The sequence below is a fragment of the Homo sapiens genome, chromosome 4 (genome assembly GCF_000001405.40).
Source record: "Homo sapiens chromosome 4, GRCh38.p14 Primary Assembly".
In the NCBI taxonomy this organism is placed as follows: domain Eukaryota; kingdom Metazoa; phylum Chordata; class Mammalia; order Primates; family Hominidae; genus Homo; species Homo sapiens.
The window spans coordinates 23,059,467-23,079,655 of record NC_000004.12 but is presented as its reverse complement, the minus strand read 5'-3'; the positions used below and the strand labels follow the sequence as shown (position 1 = coordinate 23,079,655).

At 37.5% G+C, this 20,189-nt stretch overlaps 1 long non-coding RNA gene across 7 annotated transcripts in view; it reads right to left on the bottom strand.

Moving 5' to 3' along the window:
• The window catches only part of LOC105374524 (uncharacterized), a 507,306-nt gene that overhangs the window by 425,182 nt on the left and 61,935 nt on the right, over positions 1–20,189 (bottom strand). Inside the window, exons 6-9 of one of the 7 annotated variants that reach the window (XR_925471.3) lie at positions 19,961–20,063; positions 19,480–19,672; positions 15,493–15,614; positions 8,611–8,687 (exon numbers count right to left, since the gene is read on the bottom strand). The exons of 5 other annotated variants lie outside the window; for them this stretch is intronic. This is a non-coding gene — a long non-coding RNA (uncharacterized LOC105374524). Of the gene's footprint in view, positions 1–8,610; positions 8,688–15,492; positions 15,615–19,479; positions 19,673–19,960; positions 20,064–20,189 lie in introns of those variants that run through there. One more of the 7 variants, XR_007058437.1, reaches the window with a different exon arrangement.

Here is a 20,189-nt window from a genome sequence, read left to right as displayed (position 1 = left end):
CAATACTTGCACCCCCATTGATCTAGGAAATAACTAACTTGCTTTTGATTTTACAGGCTCATGCACAGAAGGGGCTCGCCTTGTCTCAGATGAGACTTTGGACTTGGACTTTTGAGTTAATGCTGGAATGAGTTAAGACTTTAGGGGACCGTTGGAAGGGCAAGGTTGTGTTCTGAAATATGAGGACATGAGATTTGAGAGGCGCCAGAGGCAGAACGATATAGTCTGGCTCAGTGTCCCCACGAAAGTCTCATTTTGAATTGTAGTTCCCATAATCCCCATGTGTCATGGGAGGGACCCAGTGGGAGGTCATGGGGCTGTTACCCCCATGCTGCTGTTCTTGTGATAGTTAGTGAGTTCTCACAAGGGCTGATGGTTTTATAAGGGTCTTTCCCACCTTTTGCTTAGCACTTCTCCTTCCTGCCACCATGTGAAGAAGGACATGATTTTAAGTTTCCTGAGGCCTCCCCAGCCGTGCAGAACAGTGAGTCAATTAAACCTCTTTCCTTTATAAATTACTCAGTCTTGGGTCTGTCTTTATTAGCAGCATGGGAGTGGACTAACACACTTGCATTCTTAAAGCCTAGAGCAATAGAAATGAAACACAGGCCAAGTGTCCACAGGTAGAAACAATTTGCTGAGGTCAGAGGCCCTTCTGCCTTATGCCAAATCTTCAATGGTCCAAGATGCAAGAAAACTGTGATAGTTTGTATTTTCACAAAGTGATTCTTTCGAAGAGATCAGGAAAAGTTGATGCAGAGGTTTTACTGAACCAGAATGATTATTCACCTTTGTTTTAAACTTTTCAGCCAGAGTCACTTGCCAATAGCCTCAGGAAAATATAAGATGAATGTCCATGTGTTCAGAAACCTACAGAATCATCCATTTTCATGAAGATAGGACTCTTGTCAGCATGTCTTCTTGCATCTTATAATTCGCCCTCTTCATCCTCCAGCTGATTTAAGCAGTATTTCAATTGGTGACCCTCAAATCCCATTAATGAGTTTGATATTCCTTCCTGCTATGCCGGTTCTTCATTTGTCTGAGAGGTGGTGAGGAGAAATGAAATGTTACCTGACATATCTGTTCTATAGCAAGAGGAGATAATTGAGATTCCACAGCAAAACCATAGCCTTGCTTTGAAAGGGAAGCAAGCTTCAATAACGTGTGCAATTCAGAGTCACAAATATTCAACAAAATCAAAGGTCTTTATTTTTGATGGTTATCATGGAGAGAATAAAAAGCACTCTGAGTTATCCAGTGGAATGAGAAGTAGACAGAGACCAGCCTGGGTGTCTCAATTAGCAATTAGGAACATGGCGTTTCAGTTCACAGTCACTGTGGAGCACTTTGTTAAGCTCTGGAAGATGCTACATAAAATAAACATATCTAGTACCAAGATATAATTTGTCCTTCCACACTATTGCCTTCTGAACAGTACAGCTAGCCTCAGAAAAAATGAAAATCCTAGGAATACAGAATATTGCATTCATATCACAGTACTAAAACAACCAGGAACTGGACTACCCAGGCTTAACCATTGTTCTACTATTGGATGGGTCATGGGGAAGGCATTGACCCAGATCAGAACTGTAGTTCTAATGAATTATACCTTTTAACTAAATATGTTGTTTATAGTATCCTATAAGATTATGTTTCTTATTTCATCCATGGAGATTAACCAAAAAAAAAAAAAAATCATAACAACTAAAAATTGTAGAGTCCTCTAGAGTTGACAAAGCATTTTTTCCTATATCTTACTTAATTATTTCAACAACCTGTGAGATTAATGTTATTATTTCACATTAAAGGCATAGAGACAAAATAAAGCAAAACTAAGTGCAAAACTAAGACATGAAGAGGTTGAACAATTTGTATAAGGATACACAATAAGCTGGTGAAGTTGGGGCTCAAATCCTTTTTTCAGGTAGGTATAGCCACAGGCTCTTGGGGTTTCAATGTAAGTATTGGTCTTCTGGTAATATGCTCAGTTCAAGTGGTGTAATCTTGTTGATGCCTATACATATCTACTAAATAAAAGTGATGTTTCTGCCTTCTTGTTTCCCATAGGAATCTCCTTATGTGTCTGTAATATAGTTTGCTGTGTGAATATCTATTTTCACCATTGGGTTGTTAGCTCCTTGCAGTCAGGGACTATGGCTTATTCATTTTTACATTCCTCCCTTTCCTCATAGCCTAGCACAATGCTTACCCACAAAATAGACCTTCAAATATTTGTTGAGTTACGTTGAATTAGTTGCTGTAGTAAAGTTTATAATGACCTAAGGCATGTTGCCAAATGATGCTTGCTTGAATTTCTTCCAAGACCAAAAAGGAGATATTTAATTGTGCCCTTCAGGTGGGAGGAGATGCTATATTCTATTTTGAATAAAAAGAACTTTAAAAACTGATTTAAGAACCACAATTATGACGAACTACAGAGACCCTTAGTGGTGGTAGCACTTTCTGCATTATAAACTTAAGTACCTGAAAACATTTTAGAGAGGGAGAGCTAGAGAGACTTTTGTAGCAGCAAGCAAAATGCAGCAGTTTTACAGGGTAAATCCTCTCTGCTTTCCACAGTTTTATCTAGGAAGAGCCCATCATCTATCCATCTACTCTGGTACAATGGATTACACTGACCTGCTGATGGCATAGGATCCGTCAACATCTATCAGAAGACTTTAGAAGAAGTTCTAGTGAATGGAAATAGTCTTCTCTTGGCTTCCCACACATTCGAAGACAAAGGCTGGTGGCAAACTTGAACATTTCCACAGAGGCCAGGATGAGAACATATGTGCACTCGTGGGATTTGAGGAATGAGGGAGGGAATCAAATCATTATATGAGAAAGTGATGTAAAAATTGGGGATGAGTACCCTGAAGGTAAGAAAACTCAAAGAAGGTATTCAGGTGGCTTTTGACAGGGCATAGGTATGACTACTACACACAATATACTATCATGTGCGATAACCATGATTAATGGTAGCTCTCGGACCTGAAAGACCAATGGCTAGCCTATCACATACTCATATACCCTTATAATTTTGTTCTTAGTCTACCTAACATCTTCTGTCTCTCCCATAAAGATTCAGTTCATATATAACACCTTCTCTGTGAAAGGTCTTGATTGCCCACACAGTATTAATTGTCTTCATGGTAGTTTTTACAGACTGCTCATTTTGCACTTACCACACTCTTACTTAGTTTTTCTGTCTACCTAACTATCTCCTTCACTAAATTGTGAGCCTAGGATGGGATCTAAAAGATATGGTTATTTTATCTTTGTGTGTACAGTACTTAGTACAGTGTTGAGAGTATACTAACTGCTTAGTGAGGGTTAAAGGAAATAATAGAAAGAGAGAAAGGTGAGGAAAAAAGAAAAGAGAGGGGATTCATTAGGAAGGGAATTGTGTACTGGAGCTATAATGTAACACATAATTGAGCTATAACACTCATGTATCTGAGTATAGGGAGAGAATTCAGTAGTGCTGCATAGAGAATGGTGTGGTACTGTCAACTGGCCAGCATCCAGAGGTAAATAATTCTACTATAGAAAACGATTTTGCATTGCCCTATTTTAATGTCTCTAAGCTCAGAGAAAATTGTGTTTCTATTGAAAGATTCCAGCTGTTCCCAGAGAACATGACCTCAGTGCACTCTGGTTAAAGAGGCAAAGAGCTGCAGCATCCAACAGACCCAGGAGTCAACCCTTCAAGCCTAGGATCTTCAGGGACTAATTCTAAAAGAACTGAAATAAGAAGCGGTGCCCCATAGCAGAAAGCAGAAAGCAAGAGTGGCTTGAAATGCCCACAAAGGACTGTAGAACAGACCAGAACAAAAGGGAGATAATATTGTTGCTTATACTAGTTAAACATTGTCACCAATTTGCTAGTGAAGAGAAAGCAGAGTTTGATATCAGAACAGTTGATAACCCCTTATGTGATTTGTTCTGGGTATGTGGGATAAACAGTATACAGTTCTCAACATAGAGATTAGTTCAGTCACCCTCATCAAAGCTTTTTCTGTACAATGCTTCAAGTTAACATACCTATCTAAATATTATTATCTGTAATAAAAGTAGAGATATAACTGGACAGGATGAAATCTACCTCAAGATGGAAATCAAGATTTTGATGCTCTCTTTTGATCAGACAGGTAAGCAATTACCCTTCAAGAACCTTCTAATAAAACCATCTCCTGTGATTGTGTAACATATACAAGAAGACCTTCAATAGCAATCTCTCTGCTTGTATTATCAGATTTGCTTTTGTATTCCTGTTCATGAACTAGTACATTAACACTGACACTCTGATTCTACCCTGTGACACTACCTGGTCTTTTAGCAATGTGGGGTTGAACTTCCTGGCTCTATAACTTGCTGTGCCCAATATTTGGCTGAATCTCAGGACAGAGGTTCTAGATCTCAGGCCATTCTTGCAGCTTCTAGCTTCATTGGCAACCAACGTTTTCCACCATGAGTTTGTTACATCAGTGACTGGATATACAACAGGTCTTCATAAAAGTCTCAAGTACAGGAAGAATGTATTTCCTCTTTATCAATTGAAAACAAGACTCCTGAAGATGCTTTGGAAAGCATAAAAAGTGTTTTTATTTCCAACTTGTTGAATTTCAAAAGCATCCCTGACACAAATTTCTGTTTCCTCATCACCCTTTAAAGAAAGAAATATCATTGTTTGGGTTTCCTGCTCTGTGAAACAGCAGCCCAGAGAGGGTAAGTGAAGTGCGTCAGATGCACAACTAGTCAATTGCAGAAGGGCTGGTGTTTCTAATCCAAGTTATGAATACCTAGGTCTTCAAATAATTATGACAGTCTTCTAGGTAAAGTTACACAACTCTCAAAGATGCTGCCTAATAACTTTTATAAACTTTTTTTATGTTGAAAGAGTGTATTTTTCAAGTGCCACCTACAGTCATGGTTTCATGGTTTTAAAAAGCACTGTACCCCTTATTGCAGCTATGGTCATCAAAATCATTTTTAAAACATAAGCTTACTCTTTAACAACAATCACCGAATTAGAGTTTGTCAATGGAAAGTTGCAAGCCCAATCATTTCAATGCAAAAACCCTGATATTCTAATCCCAAAGAGATGGAGGAGGTGTTATTAGCCTTGGTCTGCTGTTCATAGTTTTTGTGTCATGAGATAGTTGTGTGACAATGTTAAGAAGCCAGCACTGAAAACTTACTGAAGGACTGAAGGAACACAAATGGTTATGTGGAGGAGGTGGGGATAGATGAATGTCCTCAAATCTCCATTCAGCCTTCGTAGAATCCTCTGCAAGTGTCTGACTGTGCTGGTTGTAAAGTCAAGATTCCACAAGGTTCATAAAAAAAATGGCTGCACAGATGCCAGTGTTTTTCTCCAAGTCTTGCAGCAAGGTATTAGGAATAGAAATTAGTTCTGCTCTTTGATCACTCTCCAAGGAAGCTGTACTGGTTTCCTAGGGCAGCCTTAAAAAAGTAGCAGGAATTTAGTGCCTTAAAATATGCTCTATCACAATTCTGGAGGCTGGAGTTCTGAAGTCAAAGAAATCCAAAATTCTAAGGAGTCATTCTTGGTGTTTCTTGACCCGCAGATGCATCATAGCAGTCCCCTGGCCATCTTCTCCCCATGTGTCCTCACATGGTCTTCCCTCTGTGTGCATCTGCCTCTGTGTCCAAATTTCCCTTTTTTATAAAAACACCAGTCATATTAGACTAAGACTCACCCTAATAATCTCTTTTTAACTTGAATATCTGTATAAAGTCCTTATTTCCAAATAAGATCATATTTTCAAGTACTGGGGGTGAGGACTTGAACCTATCTTTTTGGGGCAACACAATTCAACCCGTATCAGAAGCCTATTCAAAACTTAAACCTCCAAGAAAAAATACATTTCCAAACCTATGATGGCTTTTGACTCACATTTATAAGAAAAAAAAAATCAAAGCATATAATTTTTAAATGATCTTATTTCAGATCAAAGATTTAAATTGGAATTCTTAGGTAAATAATTGATTTCGTAAAATAAGCCTATGAAGAAAGCGAATTCTGTGCCACTGCAAGCTCCACACTCATCCCTCTTCTCTGTTCCCATAGCTCTTTGCACATACCACTCTTATGGTATTTATCATTTTGCTGTCAGTATCTTAATACATATATGCCTCCCTCTCTAAACTGTGAGGTCTTAGGTCAGAGACTGCTTTATTTTTTTCTTGAAAAATAGAAGGCACTAGGCAGTACTTAGCAGAGTATCTGGCACATAGTGGTCACTTAATAAATATTTGCTGAATGAAGAAATGAATTAACAAAAAGTAAGGACAATATAATGTTCATGAAATAAAAGCTCTGGAGCTCAAGATCCCTTAGCTCTAGTCTGCAGGCTGTTATTAATAAGTGGTGTGACCTTAGCAAATCACTTCATGTCTTTGTGTCTGGTTTTGTCATCTGTACAATGGGAGCATTGAACTAAATGCCCTGTAAGTTTCCTGTAGGGTGGGCTCCTGCATAGAGAAATTTGGGTAATTTTCACACCAGTTGAAATAGATGGTAGGGAACGAATATCAGACCTTGCCACAGCATTTTCATGCACGCTTGCAACTGACTAATACAGGCAGGGATATATAGTAAAACTCTAAAGACGCAGACCCTTGCTAGTTCCTTACAGCTATCTTGCTCTTCAGTCTCACTCATGTACCCCCTTGACGCTCTTGACTGGAATTCAGATCTCTCATCTCTTAAGAAAGTTCACTTTGTACACATCCTTCCTTTGCCTTTTGCCTGGAAATTCCATGATCTATTTCTGATGTCCTTTTGGCCAGTTAGTTCTTGCAGAGGTGCGGAGAACGCTCTGCAAGTTACAGATCATGATCCTCATTGTTCTTTTCAAACAGAACAGAATACCTGCTTACCTTTGTGTGGACACCCTGATAGTACCCTCTCTCCCTTTTAAAATAGATCATGATTCAACAATGTAGTATGTCAGTCAAGTCTGATGTTTTAGGCAAGGTTTATAAATATCTGTGATGATGGAAGGATTTTCTAAAAGAAAATCTATTTCTGTGTTCAAGCTTACTCCAGCTGGTTCTGTATTCACTTCTGTTTAGTACTTTTTCTCTTATTCTTATTCTCATCATTTACTGAAAAATAACCTATTCTAAGACTAGAGATCGAAAGTGGGAAAGAAAACAGGATTTCTTTTTCAGAATTGCATATAACACATAAATAAATGGTAGCAGTATACATTTTCCCAGTGCCTCAGTTTCCTATTGGCAAAATGAGTTCAATGGTATTAACCACCTACCTCAAAGACTTATTGGGAGGATTGATTAGGTAATTACAGAGCCCTTTGATTTTGTCCAATATAGCTTAAGAGTCAACTAACGATTTAAAAGTCTATCTCTAGGTGTGTTTCAGAGCCCTAGTCTGGCTTCACTTACAGTCATAGAGCTAGAGTTGTATTCAGTGGGAGGTTTTACTGATTTTCATCAAAATTAAAACAATTAGCTTAATAAAAGCCTAAATTATAACCATATCTGGACATAAGGGGATGCCACAAGTTGGTCATGAAAAGAGATTAATCTCTACACTCTCAAAGCCTTGGACTAAGAGACATTCATTCATTCAAACAACCCTTTTTTTTTTTTTTTTTTTTTGAGATGGCGTCTCTGTTGCCCAGGCTGAAGTGCGGTGGCACAATCTTGGCTCAGTGCAACCTTCACCTCCCAGGTTCAATGCAACCTTAACCTTCAGCCTCCCTAGTAGCTGGGATTACAGGTGCTTGCCACCACACCCAGCTAATTTTTTGTATTTTTAGTAGAGGCGGGATTTCACCATGTTGGCCAGAATGGTCTGGAACTCCAGACCTCAGGTGACCCGCCTGCCTTGGCCTCGCCAAGTGCTGGGATTCAAACAAGCTTTTAAAATCAGGCAGCTGACTACAGTAATTCAAAACATATGAAAGATTATAAAAACTGACCTAGAAAAAAATTAAACATTGTGACATATCCTAATTTTTTGATGTCAGGAAAAAGTATATTGATATCCCTTCCTTCTCAGGGATTATCTTATTCCAACTCTCAGCAAAAAGAATATTTTGAAGACTAATAAATATTTCCTTTTCCTTTGTGTATAGGCGGTCTATATGAACATGAAGAAAGGTTGGAATTTTTGGTTTATTTTCTCCAGGGAAACATGTGACTCCTTTAGGTTTGCACCACAGAGAACAGAAACGTTAGCTTTGGGCAGCAGGGTAGTGGAAGGAATGAAAGAGCAGGCCTCAGTACCATTTAACTAGGTATGAGATACAATCAAGTTCCTTAATCTTTCTTAGTTTCAGTTTACCCATCTGTGAATAAAAACTATAATGCCTGCTCTGTTACTGCAAAGGGTTTAGATTTTCTGGCTCTGTTTTTCTTAGCTTCATGTTATTCTTTTGTAGTCTTTTTCTATGTGTCTCTCCTTCAATATTTTGCACATAATTTTGACAATCTGGATTCATGAGAGGGCTCCTTTTGCAGCCACAGTGGTTTCTGTAGCACCTGAGGTCATATTTCCAGATTACATTTTCAAGCTTGCTGTCATTTCTTCCTTAGTCATCTCTTCTTTTAGAAACTCTGGTCATAGGAGCATATCTCTTCTTTGCTCATGTCCATATTAACTGGCTCATTGTAGGTCCTCTGTAACTCTGTTGAATGAATAGTGAATGGAATCTGATTTCCTGTAATACCCAACTTTATCCAACATTTTATTCATTGCCTGTTAAAGTTCCTAGAAGTTTATTACATTCACTTTCTTTCAAGGTCCCCATCTTTTTTGCTTTACAAGAATAAAATTCAGGTCAGAGATTTTCTGGTTAGTTCATTCCATCTTAAAATCAATGAAAATGGAGGCAAGGAAGTCAAAGTTTTATTAGATTATCTTTTTTTTTTCCCCAAGAATGGCATGCCCCAATTCTCAAAATCTCTCCTTCATTACTCAAACTCTTAGGCAAGTGCTTCCTACACTGAACCAATCATAATAATTATGTAAACAAATTATTCAAAATAGATAACTAAGTTCTTTCCCAAACAGGTTGAATCTGAATCTCCAGAAAGTTAAACTTAGACATCTGCATTTTTAAAAAAGGTTTATCCAAGTGTTTCTGGCAAAGCTAGGTTTGAGGAACACTGTCTTGAAAAGTTGTTTTTTAAGCCTGGGCAGAAAGTTTCTCCTGGGTTTTTCAATACCAAAACCCCAGAGTCTCCTTCTTGAGGTGTGCAAAGCAGATTCTACAAAGGACTTTTCTTTGGACAAGTCTGCCTTTGTTTAAAAAAGAGACAAATTGTGGGAACTGGTTTAGTTTTCCAAGGCTACCATTACAAAATATCATGAAGTGAGTGGCTCATGCAATAGAAATTTATTGTCACATGTTTCTGGAGGGTAGAAGCCTGAGATCAAGGTGTCAGTGAGGCCATGCCGCCTCTGAAGGCTCTAGGGAAAGGTCTGTTCCAGGTCTCTCTCCTAGCTTCTGGTAGCTCCTTGGCTTGTGAACGCATAACTCCAATCAGAGCATGGCATTCCCCCTTGGCCTGTGCATGTCTGTCTAGATATCAAAAGTTACAAGAAAATGAGAGTGGAGCGAGCTGTCTCATATGTATGTTTCTTGCTATCTTTTAAAAAGCTGCTTAAGTAAAAACAGAAAATACTTTCCTGGTCCTAAGGTAGAGGAAGGGAAAGATGAAACCCTCAGAAAGCCAAAGGTCATAGAAGAAAGAAAATTTCTGAAGACAAGACATAACAAGAGGAATACCAGGAGACATGCTGATGGATGCATGAGAAATTTACAATATAATTGACAGGAAATTATGGCTTGAGCTGAAGTGACAAATCATTAAATGAATATCAAAAGAGTATCAAAAATGATACTCTTCAGAGACAAATAACCCAGTAGATGCTACCAAGAAACTGCTAACTAATGTGCATGTGGGAGAGAAAAAGAGCTTCAAAGCAGCATTTGCGGTGACAAACGGTGACAAATGGTGAAGGACGACTTCAACTAGAGAAAGAAACTGCTACACGTTTCAGCATATTAGCATAGGCCAACACAAGACAATGCATCAGGAAACCTGCCTGGAAAACAATGCAAGGGCACATGGACGGAAAACAACGAAGGCTCGCCCTGCGTAAACACTGGTGTGTTCAGTCGACCAGGTTCAATCTAGTCATCTTGAAAAAATTGTTAGAATACTGACCTTGCACAATTTTCACACTAAAGACCTGCTAGTCAGATAGACTGTCTTCTTTATTCTTATAGCAAATGTACTGAAAAAAAAATAGTCTGAAAATTTAATCTTATATATTGATGAAAATCACAGCAGATTCTATCTCTAAGAAATTAAAAATACACATTAAGCTGCACTTTCCTAAACCACTGGTTTATTTTGTCCTTTGGGGGTATGCATATAATAATAACATTTTACTAATCCAGAACCCAAATTTTAGACATGCAACTTTGTGAAACACAGCTGAAAACTAAAATATAAACACCAAAGTTCTTTGAAGAGTCCGAAGAGGTATTGCCAAAGTGTAAGTTGCCTGTTAGGGGAGATGCTCTGTGCCTTCTTCTGAAACTGTTTGCACATAGCTACCATGTGTTGGATTATCTGGTTTTCCAACTAGTGTTAGCTGAGGAGCAAGTTATTGAAAGGACACAGTATATCAGTTCAGGGTGACGCATTAATAGCCACAGGAAGTGACAGCCGAGAGCAAATGGAAAGCATGGAAATGATAAAAATGAAACTCAAGAACAAAAAACACAGCAATGATCTGAAGTTGTTTAATAAAGGGAAACAGCTCTGTGCATCTCAATTATTCCAAGAACATCTTTGAATTATAGCATGCTATCATAACAGATGATTATAATGATGACCCTGAGACAACAAGAAAAAAATAAATTTGGTTCCAGATGCATCATTTAAGATGGCAGAAAAATGTGCAATAAAATTTTAGAAAGATCTTCCTCCAAATGATTTTTTAAAGTTTTAATGTTTAACGTAATAAACCCACACTATTCAAAAGTTTCGCTCTTAAAAATGACTCATTGTTTGTGGCATTCATAAAATCTCATATCCATTTCTGCAGCCCTGACCTGTCTTTTGAATCCTACACCCAGATTTCAAAAAGTTTGTCAGACATCTCTGTTTACATGCCCCACTGGTTCTTTCCATTACACATCTGAACGTGAGTTACGTCCACCCACAAAGTTTCTCCTTATGATCAGTTGAGTGCCGCTATCTATGCAGTCATCCAAGTTAGAACCTTTGAATCTAATCTTGATTATTCCTCCTGCTTCTGGCTTACATTTACTTTATTAAACAAAATTTCCATCTTAGCCTAGAAGCCTATTTTGTATCTATGTCCCAATCTTCACCTGAGCTTGCACTATTTCTAGCACCCCTCTCTCTCACAGCCAACTTCTGTTAGAGTCACATCAGATCATTTCCTATTTGCCATTTGTGATGGTTTCAGTGTATCTCCTCCAATATTCAGGTGTTGAAATTAATGGGTAATGTGATGATATTAAGAGCTGGGGCCTTTAAGGGGTAATTAGGCCATGAAGGCTCCTCTCTCATGAATGGTACTAAGGTCCTTACGAAGAAGGCTTCATGCAGCATTTGGCTAGCTTGCTGTACCAAATTGCTGTACTACCTTCTGCCATGCAAGGACACAGCATTCTTCTCCTTTGAGGGTGCAGCAATGGGTGCCATCTTGGAAGGAGGGAGCAGATCTTGCCAGACAGTCGAGCCTATTGGCCCCATAATCTTGGACTTCTCAGCCTCAAGAGCTGTGAGAAATACATTTCTGTTTTTTTAAATAAGTCCCTTGGTTTCAAATATTTTGTTAGAACACTATAAACAGCTTCTAAATTTCTGGAATATACAATATAAATAATTAAATAACCTTTATAGAATGTCTAATTATTGCAGTACTTCCATATTGATTACCTATTTCTGAGTAAACATAGAGTGCGAGCAATGTTTAAGGTTTAGAATATGTCACTTTATATGTATCTTTATAGAATAGTCTTTTTGCTGGATCATCTCATTCATTCCTCACAACTTCCTCACAGGCATCCTTATCACCATTGCCATGGTGAAGAAATCAAGTTTCACCAAGACTCTAGAATTTGCCTGAGTTTACTTCAGTAAGATGTGACAGTTGAAAAGCAAGACCTAAGTCTTTTGACTTAGTATTCTTCCCACTTATTCCTCTCTTTTGCTCAACTTCTCATCCATCAAAATGTACTTTGATCAAATATGAAAATATTAAGGCAGAAGAATGTAAACATTTAGTGAACAGAAACCACTTTTGATTTTCTTGAAGTAAGGGCAAGGGTTGGCCATTCCATCTGTGAAAGTTAGACTGTGTCAGTTGGGGTACTGATAAGAATCAGATGGCCTACTTAGTGTGTTAAATGAAGAAACCTCAAAGAAAGCATCATTAACACAGAGAAAAAAAAAATTAAGCCTCCCAGCAAAAGATAGTGAGGTACCCAGGGATTAGCAACAGTGGGAGAATATTATTAACATAGGCCTAAAGGGGCAAGGATGAGAATGATGTTACCAGTACTCAGAAAAAGTTGTAGCAAAAGAAAAGGAACCACCACCCAGGAGTTGTGCCCATAGAAAAAGAAACAGTCAGTGCCAAAACCATGGCCCAGCAGGATACAGGAGAGAAAGAAACAATGGTAGCCCTCCCTTTCCTTTCTTCAACTCTTGCAGGTAACTTCCATTCACAGAACCTAAGTAAAAGTGAGAGAAAAAGTGGAGCCCATGTAATATGAATTTTTCTTTTTGAGACGGAGTCTCAACTCTGTCACCCAGGCTGGAGTGCAGTGGCGCAATCTTGGCTCACTACAACCTCCACCTCCCGGGTTCAAGCGATTCTTCTGCCTCAGCCTCCTGAGTAGCTGGGATTACAGGCACCCACCACCACGCCCAGCTAATTTTTGTATTTTTAGTAGAGATGGAGTTTCACCATGTTGGCCAGGATGATCTTGATCGCCTGACTTTGTGATCCGCCTGCCTTGGCCTCCCAAAGTGCTGGGATTACAGGCGTGAGCCACTGCACTTGGCCAAGTAACATAATTTTTAAGATCAGACTTCTGAGGCAGACTGCAGGTTGAGAAGGACAAATAACGTAACTGGAGGGAAAATAAAAAATGAACAGCACAGAAACTCCTCTATATGCTGGAGAAAGGAAGCATGCCATTCTCCTCTTAGTTCTTGGAACTCTTAAGGTAATAGGATATGGGTTATGTTATTCGGTAGCTTTTTATTAAAATTAATTATGCCAAGTGACTCCTGTTTAATGAGGCCACAATTGCAATCATGGGCCTTGGAACCAGCTCAGTTTCCTCCACTAAAGGGCACTATGAATAGGAAAGTTATTTAATTTCTCCAAGCCTCAGTTTCATTACCTGGTAAATGAGGGAAATGATAGTATTCAACTGGTAAGACATTCTGAGGAATTAAATGAGATAATGGAGTTAACATGAAGTATCTAGTGCACATGGTAAGAGTTTGGTACACATGCATTATTTTAAGTCATATAAGAAGGAGTAAAGAATACCAAAGGATCACCATTCCCCAGTAGAATATCTGTATTAGATACAGAGGACACGTGGAAAATCCACAGAATTGAAGTACTGTGAGAGCCTTATTTTTATGAATTTTTTATTCATTCGACGAGGTTTTTAAACATTTCTTTGCCGTGCCTTTGTCAAGCTGATGTAACCTGTACAGAATAGCGTATTCCTAGAAAAAGGCTTTTAAATACATAAATAACATTCATAGAATTATACATGAAAACAATTATAAAAACATTTGCGTATTTACATATAAAACCATCAGAAAACTTAAAAAACAAATTTATGACATAGTAATGTATTTCTTTTTTAGTAATACATTACAAAATAAGTGCCAATAGTTATACTAATAACTTACATAATTTTGAAATAATACAAGACAACATTTCTAGATATCAGCAATAGCTATCATTTGAAAATAGAATATCTGTGATTTCTATTGCTGATACCAATATGGCTAGTACTGCTGGAATTTGTGGCTTTACATTTGCAATTGAGAGAATTACTGATCAGTTGGTAAGAGGTTAATGAAAATTGATAAATATTTTCATACCCAAGTTCACAGATCACATTGGTTTATACCCACAAAGCATTCGGGGTGCACATGCTTTGTAGTCTCACATGATGTCTGGGAAATAGTATTCACTCAATAAATGTTTGCTAAGCTGAAGTAAATAGAAACAAAAGAGCTATACATACATACAGAAATAAAGTATTAAAAAGAATTACTTGCATACAGCAAATTACTCTTAGTAAAGCAATAAGATTCTACTCATGCAGGTAAGATTTCATTAGATCCCACCTGTAAACAAGAATAGTTTGTATATAAGAGAACCAGTTCCTTCAGTTATCCTGTAATCACAAGGCTTTAAGAGAAGACATAAAGAAAAGACTATGGAGAATGTTAAGGAATAGACATTTTAAACCCGACAGTAACGGATAAGAGAAATCAGGAATAATCATTTTATACATAAAATTTCTTTTCTGAGGAAGAAAAAAATCCTCATAAATCAATAACTGACCCCAATCAACACATAAGAAAAGAAGATCAACAAATCACAAAAGATGTAGAACCCCTGGTAACCAGTACATGTGAATGTGCTCATTCTCCCTGAGAAGCAAAGTACATAGGGGTACTTGAAAAATCACCACACACTCCTACTACCTATCAAGTTTGCAAAAAATGCTGGGAAGGTTGAGATGAAATGGGAACTTTTCATACATTGCTTGAATATGAGAAAGTAACTTGGATCAACCATCACGAAAATAATTTGACAAAAGGCATCAAAGCCTTAAAACATTACTGCTGAGCTCACATACAATATCTAATTTAATGTACTACAACCCTATGAGACAGATCTGAATGGACCCATTTCATAAAAGAAGACCCAAAGGATCTGTGAGGCTATTTCCTCCAAGCCATAGAGCTAGTGGGACGCGGCAACAAGATTCCAATCCAGGTCTCTCTAGCACCAGAGCCTGTGCTTTGTCCAGCACACTCCATCACCTAAGCTTTCGGCAAACAATTAGATCTTTGCTAATATGACCTAACACAGTAATTTGAATACAAACAGGCTACACACATCATGACATTTATTGAAACATTGTGAATAATATCAAGGATAAACTCAAAGCCCAGTAATAGCGGAAAGGTTAAAGGAATTATCAGGAATTACTTTTCTAATTAGTTTACAGCTATTTAAAATTCTATTGCTGAGTGCCGATAATAACATGGAGAAATACCTATGGTACCTTCAGTAACAAATGAGAGTATAAAATAGTATTATTACAATTATGAAAAGTTTTAAAAAATAATTATACAAACAAAAAGACTTAAAATACATATAAATGTTAAGTGACTTACTCTGAGTGGTAGGCTTTGGGTAATTTTTTCTCTCTTCTTTCTAATTTATTGGATTTCTACATTTTCTATAATTGGTATTCATAACATTTGTGATGAAGGAAATATAAATTTATTTTTTAAAGCTGAAAACAGGAGATAAATGACATAAAGAATATATTTAGATGGTACAAGAGCCTAAATTTCTCAATAATAAGTCATAATATTGCTCTGTCAAACCTAACACTTCATCTCCAACAATTAATGTTTTAATGTGTTTTACGAGGCATTGCCATCTATTTTGATATTACCTCGAAAGATCAATATTGATGGCCATTATATGCAAAACAGGGCACCAACACAGAGGTGAAAATTCTGTTTGTCGCTGGACTTTGCCATTAATTAGTTTTGTGATTTGGGGCAAAGTCCTAACCCCTCTGAACCTTATTTACAAAAGATTATTATCATTAAATTATTATTATTTAAAATGGTTACCATGAGTTGCTTGAATATACCCTTCTAGAATGACATTAATCATTAAGGGTGGAGGTTATCTCATACAGATGGTCAACTCAATGTATATATTGACACCCACCTCTTTAAAAAAAATTATACTTTGCTGGCAGAAGACAGAAATACTAATATTATACAATTAATTATATAGGAATTAAAGTTTAGGATGGAAAGATAGTCAAAAGAGAAAAACTAACATTCCAATCAGAGGGCAATACAATTTCTGTGACCAAGCATGAAGCTTGGCTCTGTGTTTCACAGCAGCCAATGCAAAGCGGTTCCATTAAGTGGGCAACTGTGGTGATCAGATAGAAGGAAGTAGGCCAGTGCCTTCAGGGACACAACAGTTTTACAAGGAACAAACTCTGTGTATGACTCTGTATGTGTGTGTTTGTGTGTGTGTGTGTGGCGGGGGATAATATAAGAAGAATCAAATAATATGATGGGTGACGATCACTAGTAATTTTTCACAGCAAATGAAGAAGGAAATTCCACAGGGCTATTTTTTGCAGTGACTTTTGTGAAAAGTCAAAGATTTAACATAAACCCAGAAGCCAGTAAAGGCAATCCCATAAGGCTTCAGGTGATGCCAATCAAGACTGTGGTACTCCAGGTATTCTCTTTTCCCCCACTTTCTCTCATTTATTCCTGTTCCTTCCTTTCCTTTTTTCTTATTTTCCCTTTAAATCCATTTGGTGGCTGCAACAGAAAATAGCTAAGAATGTGAACTCTTGGATCAAACTACTTGGTTTAAATTCATATTCACATAGATACTAGTGATTGACCCTGGACATGTTATTTAATCTCTCTGTATCTCTGTTTCTTCATCCATCAAATGGGGTTAATCAAACCTACCTTACGGGATTTGTGTGAAGGTTAAATTATAGAATGCATACCAAGTGCATAAAACAGTGCCTAGCACACAATAAGTAACTGGTAAAGGTTAGTTAGAACAACAATACAATAATAACAACAATAATAAAGTAAGTATTTCGTTCATTCATTCATTCATTCATTTGGCAATTATTTTTGAGTTCTACTATGTAGCAGCCAATGTGCTAGCTGTTAGGTGTTCAAAAACACATGTGTTTTAGCGTTATGTGTTTAGATGTCTGTCTCTATTTTATGAGTTTTTTGGGGGGAAACATGTATACTAGCAAAGACAAACATCTAAACAGGTAATACTAAAAGAAATTAATATTGTAGATGATTATAAAAGAGGACACTCAATCTTGTTTGGTAGAAAGGAGAGTAGGAATCAAGGAAAGCTTCCTGGAGGAGGTGATTTCTGAGGCAAATCTAAGGGGCAAACACTAGCATGTAATGTTTTACCCTGTGCTGGATACATGCGTAACTTAATTCATCTAGTTCTTTCAACAATACTGTGATGTACTTTTATGGCTATTTTACAAATAGGGAAGCTGAGGCATGGGGAAATTAAATAACTTGCCCAAGGGCAGATAGCTAGAAAGTGACAGAGAGCTACATGGCTACATTCTTAATCACATAATTGTATCTTCAGTGTCTTAAATCTTAAAGGACATATGGCAGTTACTCAGGCAAAATGAGGCATGTTTCTGCACAGAAAGGATAACATAGGCACAAAACAATGATGAGGGGGACAGCATGGTGTTGGGGAAGAGGTCAGCATTTCTCAGCAGTGGTGCAGCAGAGTGTAGCAGGAGGAGGTTATAAGTGTGGAGGGGCATGGAACGGTGAGATCACAAAATATTTTGTACGCCATGCTGATGAACTTGGACTTTGTCCTGTTGGACTCAAAAATAATCATATGTGGGTTTGAAACACATTATATGAGCAATAATTTTGCTGTGTTTGACCCTGAGCATCTGACTAAGTATCTCTGATTTCATTAGGGAGAAACAGGACAAGTAAAATATACATTGCAGAGCAGGCATTGATGTGTGTGTAAAGTGCATGATACCTAGCAGACATTCCACAAAGGTCGTTATTCTTGCAAAACACATTACAGGCAGCCTGAGTGGAGACATAAAGGATTCATGTGTGCCCAAGATTAAACCAGCGCCAAATGCAGTGCAAAGGACCTACATCCCACATAGGATTAGGGCCCGCCCTGAGCAGGTAAACATTTCACAAGATTAAAATCTACCTTTGAACTTTCTTTAGGAAGTGGCTGATATATCATCTCTCAGCAAGTCAAACATTTAAGTATTGAAGTATATTACTATTGCTTCTATTGATGAAGGAGATGTATCCATCTTTGTCTACTTATCTGCATGTCTCTCTTTATGTCTATTTCTGCTAAAGGAGTATAGCTGAATTCACGTGTTACATGAAAATATAATCTAAGTCTAAATAGGCAAAGAAGCGGGGACTAAACCATTATATGGTTTTCTCATTAAGAAAAAAAAACAGTCATTAACTGAGTCAAAATATAAACCTTCGTGTGTGTGTGTGTGTGTGTGTGTGTGTGTATAATGACATATTTAAGTGAACTATTAGAAAATTACTTTTTTTTGCAGTCTCATAAATTCCTGGGATTCACCTATGGTATAAAAGACAAAACAGACTGAGGAAGGGCAGTGACTTGTTGAAAGGAGCACAGTGGTAGTCTCAGAGTTAAAACCAAAAATCCTGCTGTGAAACTTGAGGTTTTACTCTCCTCTGGCCCCAAATACACTTTTTCCCACTGCCTCACTGTAGAAAGAGGCATTGGTACTGAGGGACTGGGCATCTCACCAGAATCTTCTGAGCGTATTGACAGGGATGAGTCATGAGGACTCCAGAGCTAATAAAGCAAGCAAGAAAAAAGAAAGAAACATGGATACAAGGACTCAATAGACTAAGATTTACCCCAGAATAAAAGCCTTCATCAGGAAGAAATAAAAGGACTCTAAATTCTAGAACCAAACACACCAAATAGCTAGAAGCTACCACTACACTATTTCTTATAACGAAACTGGACTGACGAAAACAACAGAGACATATATATATATATATCTTGTTTTATATATATAAATATGTAGGAATTATATATATACATATATGTATATACATATAGATACATATATATACATATGTGTATAGATACATATGTGTGTATGTGTGTGTGTGTGTGTGTGTGTGTGTGTGTGTGTATATGTATAAAGATAGACCCTCTCAAGCAGACTGTGATAAATGAAAGCAGGTAGCTTGAACAATGAGGAGACAGGAAATGTTCTACATCCCTCTATCTATCCAAAGGAAGTCCTCAAAACAAATGAACCCTTTGAAACATTTTAAGGCTTTCAAAACTGAACAGATCTGCACACTGAGAATGGAGGTGAAGAGATACCCTTTTAAAAGGTTATTTCAGGAAGAAAGGAAGTTTTGAAATGTTCCTTATATAATATTCATAATGAGGCTGATAGTGGGAAAGTAAGGAGTTTGAGATAGTCTTAAACATTCACACAGATTACAAAGCATACAAAGTTGTCTCTAGAGGAAAAAATATAGCAGTTACACATATTGGGCAACCACCTTTTGCTGTGATACTGCCTTTGGGATGCTGGGTAGGGGCCTCAGTGTCATCTTGGTGGCCCTGTTGACATGCTCCTGGCAAGCAGCAGAAGCAGGATTTAAAATTAGTCTAAATCCTTCAAATATTTCTTCCACATGATACTGCAAAACAAGCACATGGCTTCGGAGAAAATGAGACAGCTTACATAGGAAGCTGGGGAAACAAATGTGTCAGGAAAGAAACAAAAATTAATAAAGAAATAAAACCTCTTATCTGAAAAAAAAGAGCAAGGTTGAAATATCATACAGAGAAAAATGGTATTTGTCCTGGGAAAAATTACTATTCTTATTATTCAAAATACATGTAGAGTTTTTCAGGCTCAAAATGGTTGTCCTGAGTCCTGGTTCTCTAAAAATAATTCATTCCCACAGTGTCAGCTTTAGAGAGTAACATACCACACCAAATTTCAGTAGCTTATAATAATATTTACTTCTCACTCACTTTACACGTTAGAGGCTGTGGGTCAGCTACTGTGCCTCTGTGGCCTATGTTCTTGGATTCTGTTGCCCAGGTGAATAATCAGGCCCTGTTGAGACATACGTTTCTTATGGCAAAGGGAAAAGAGTAAGAAAGAGAATTAGAGGAAACTTATGATATCTCTAAAACTTCTGATAGGATGTGGCCTAAACTAAGCTTGCATATACTGATTGGCCAAAATACATCCCATGAT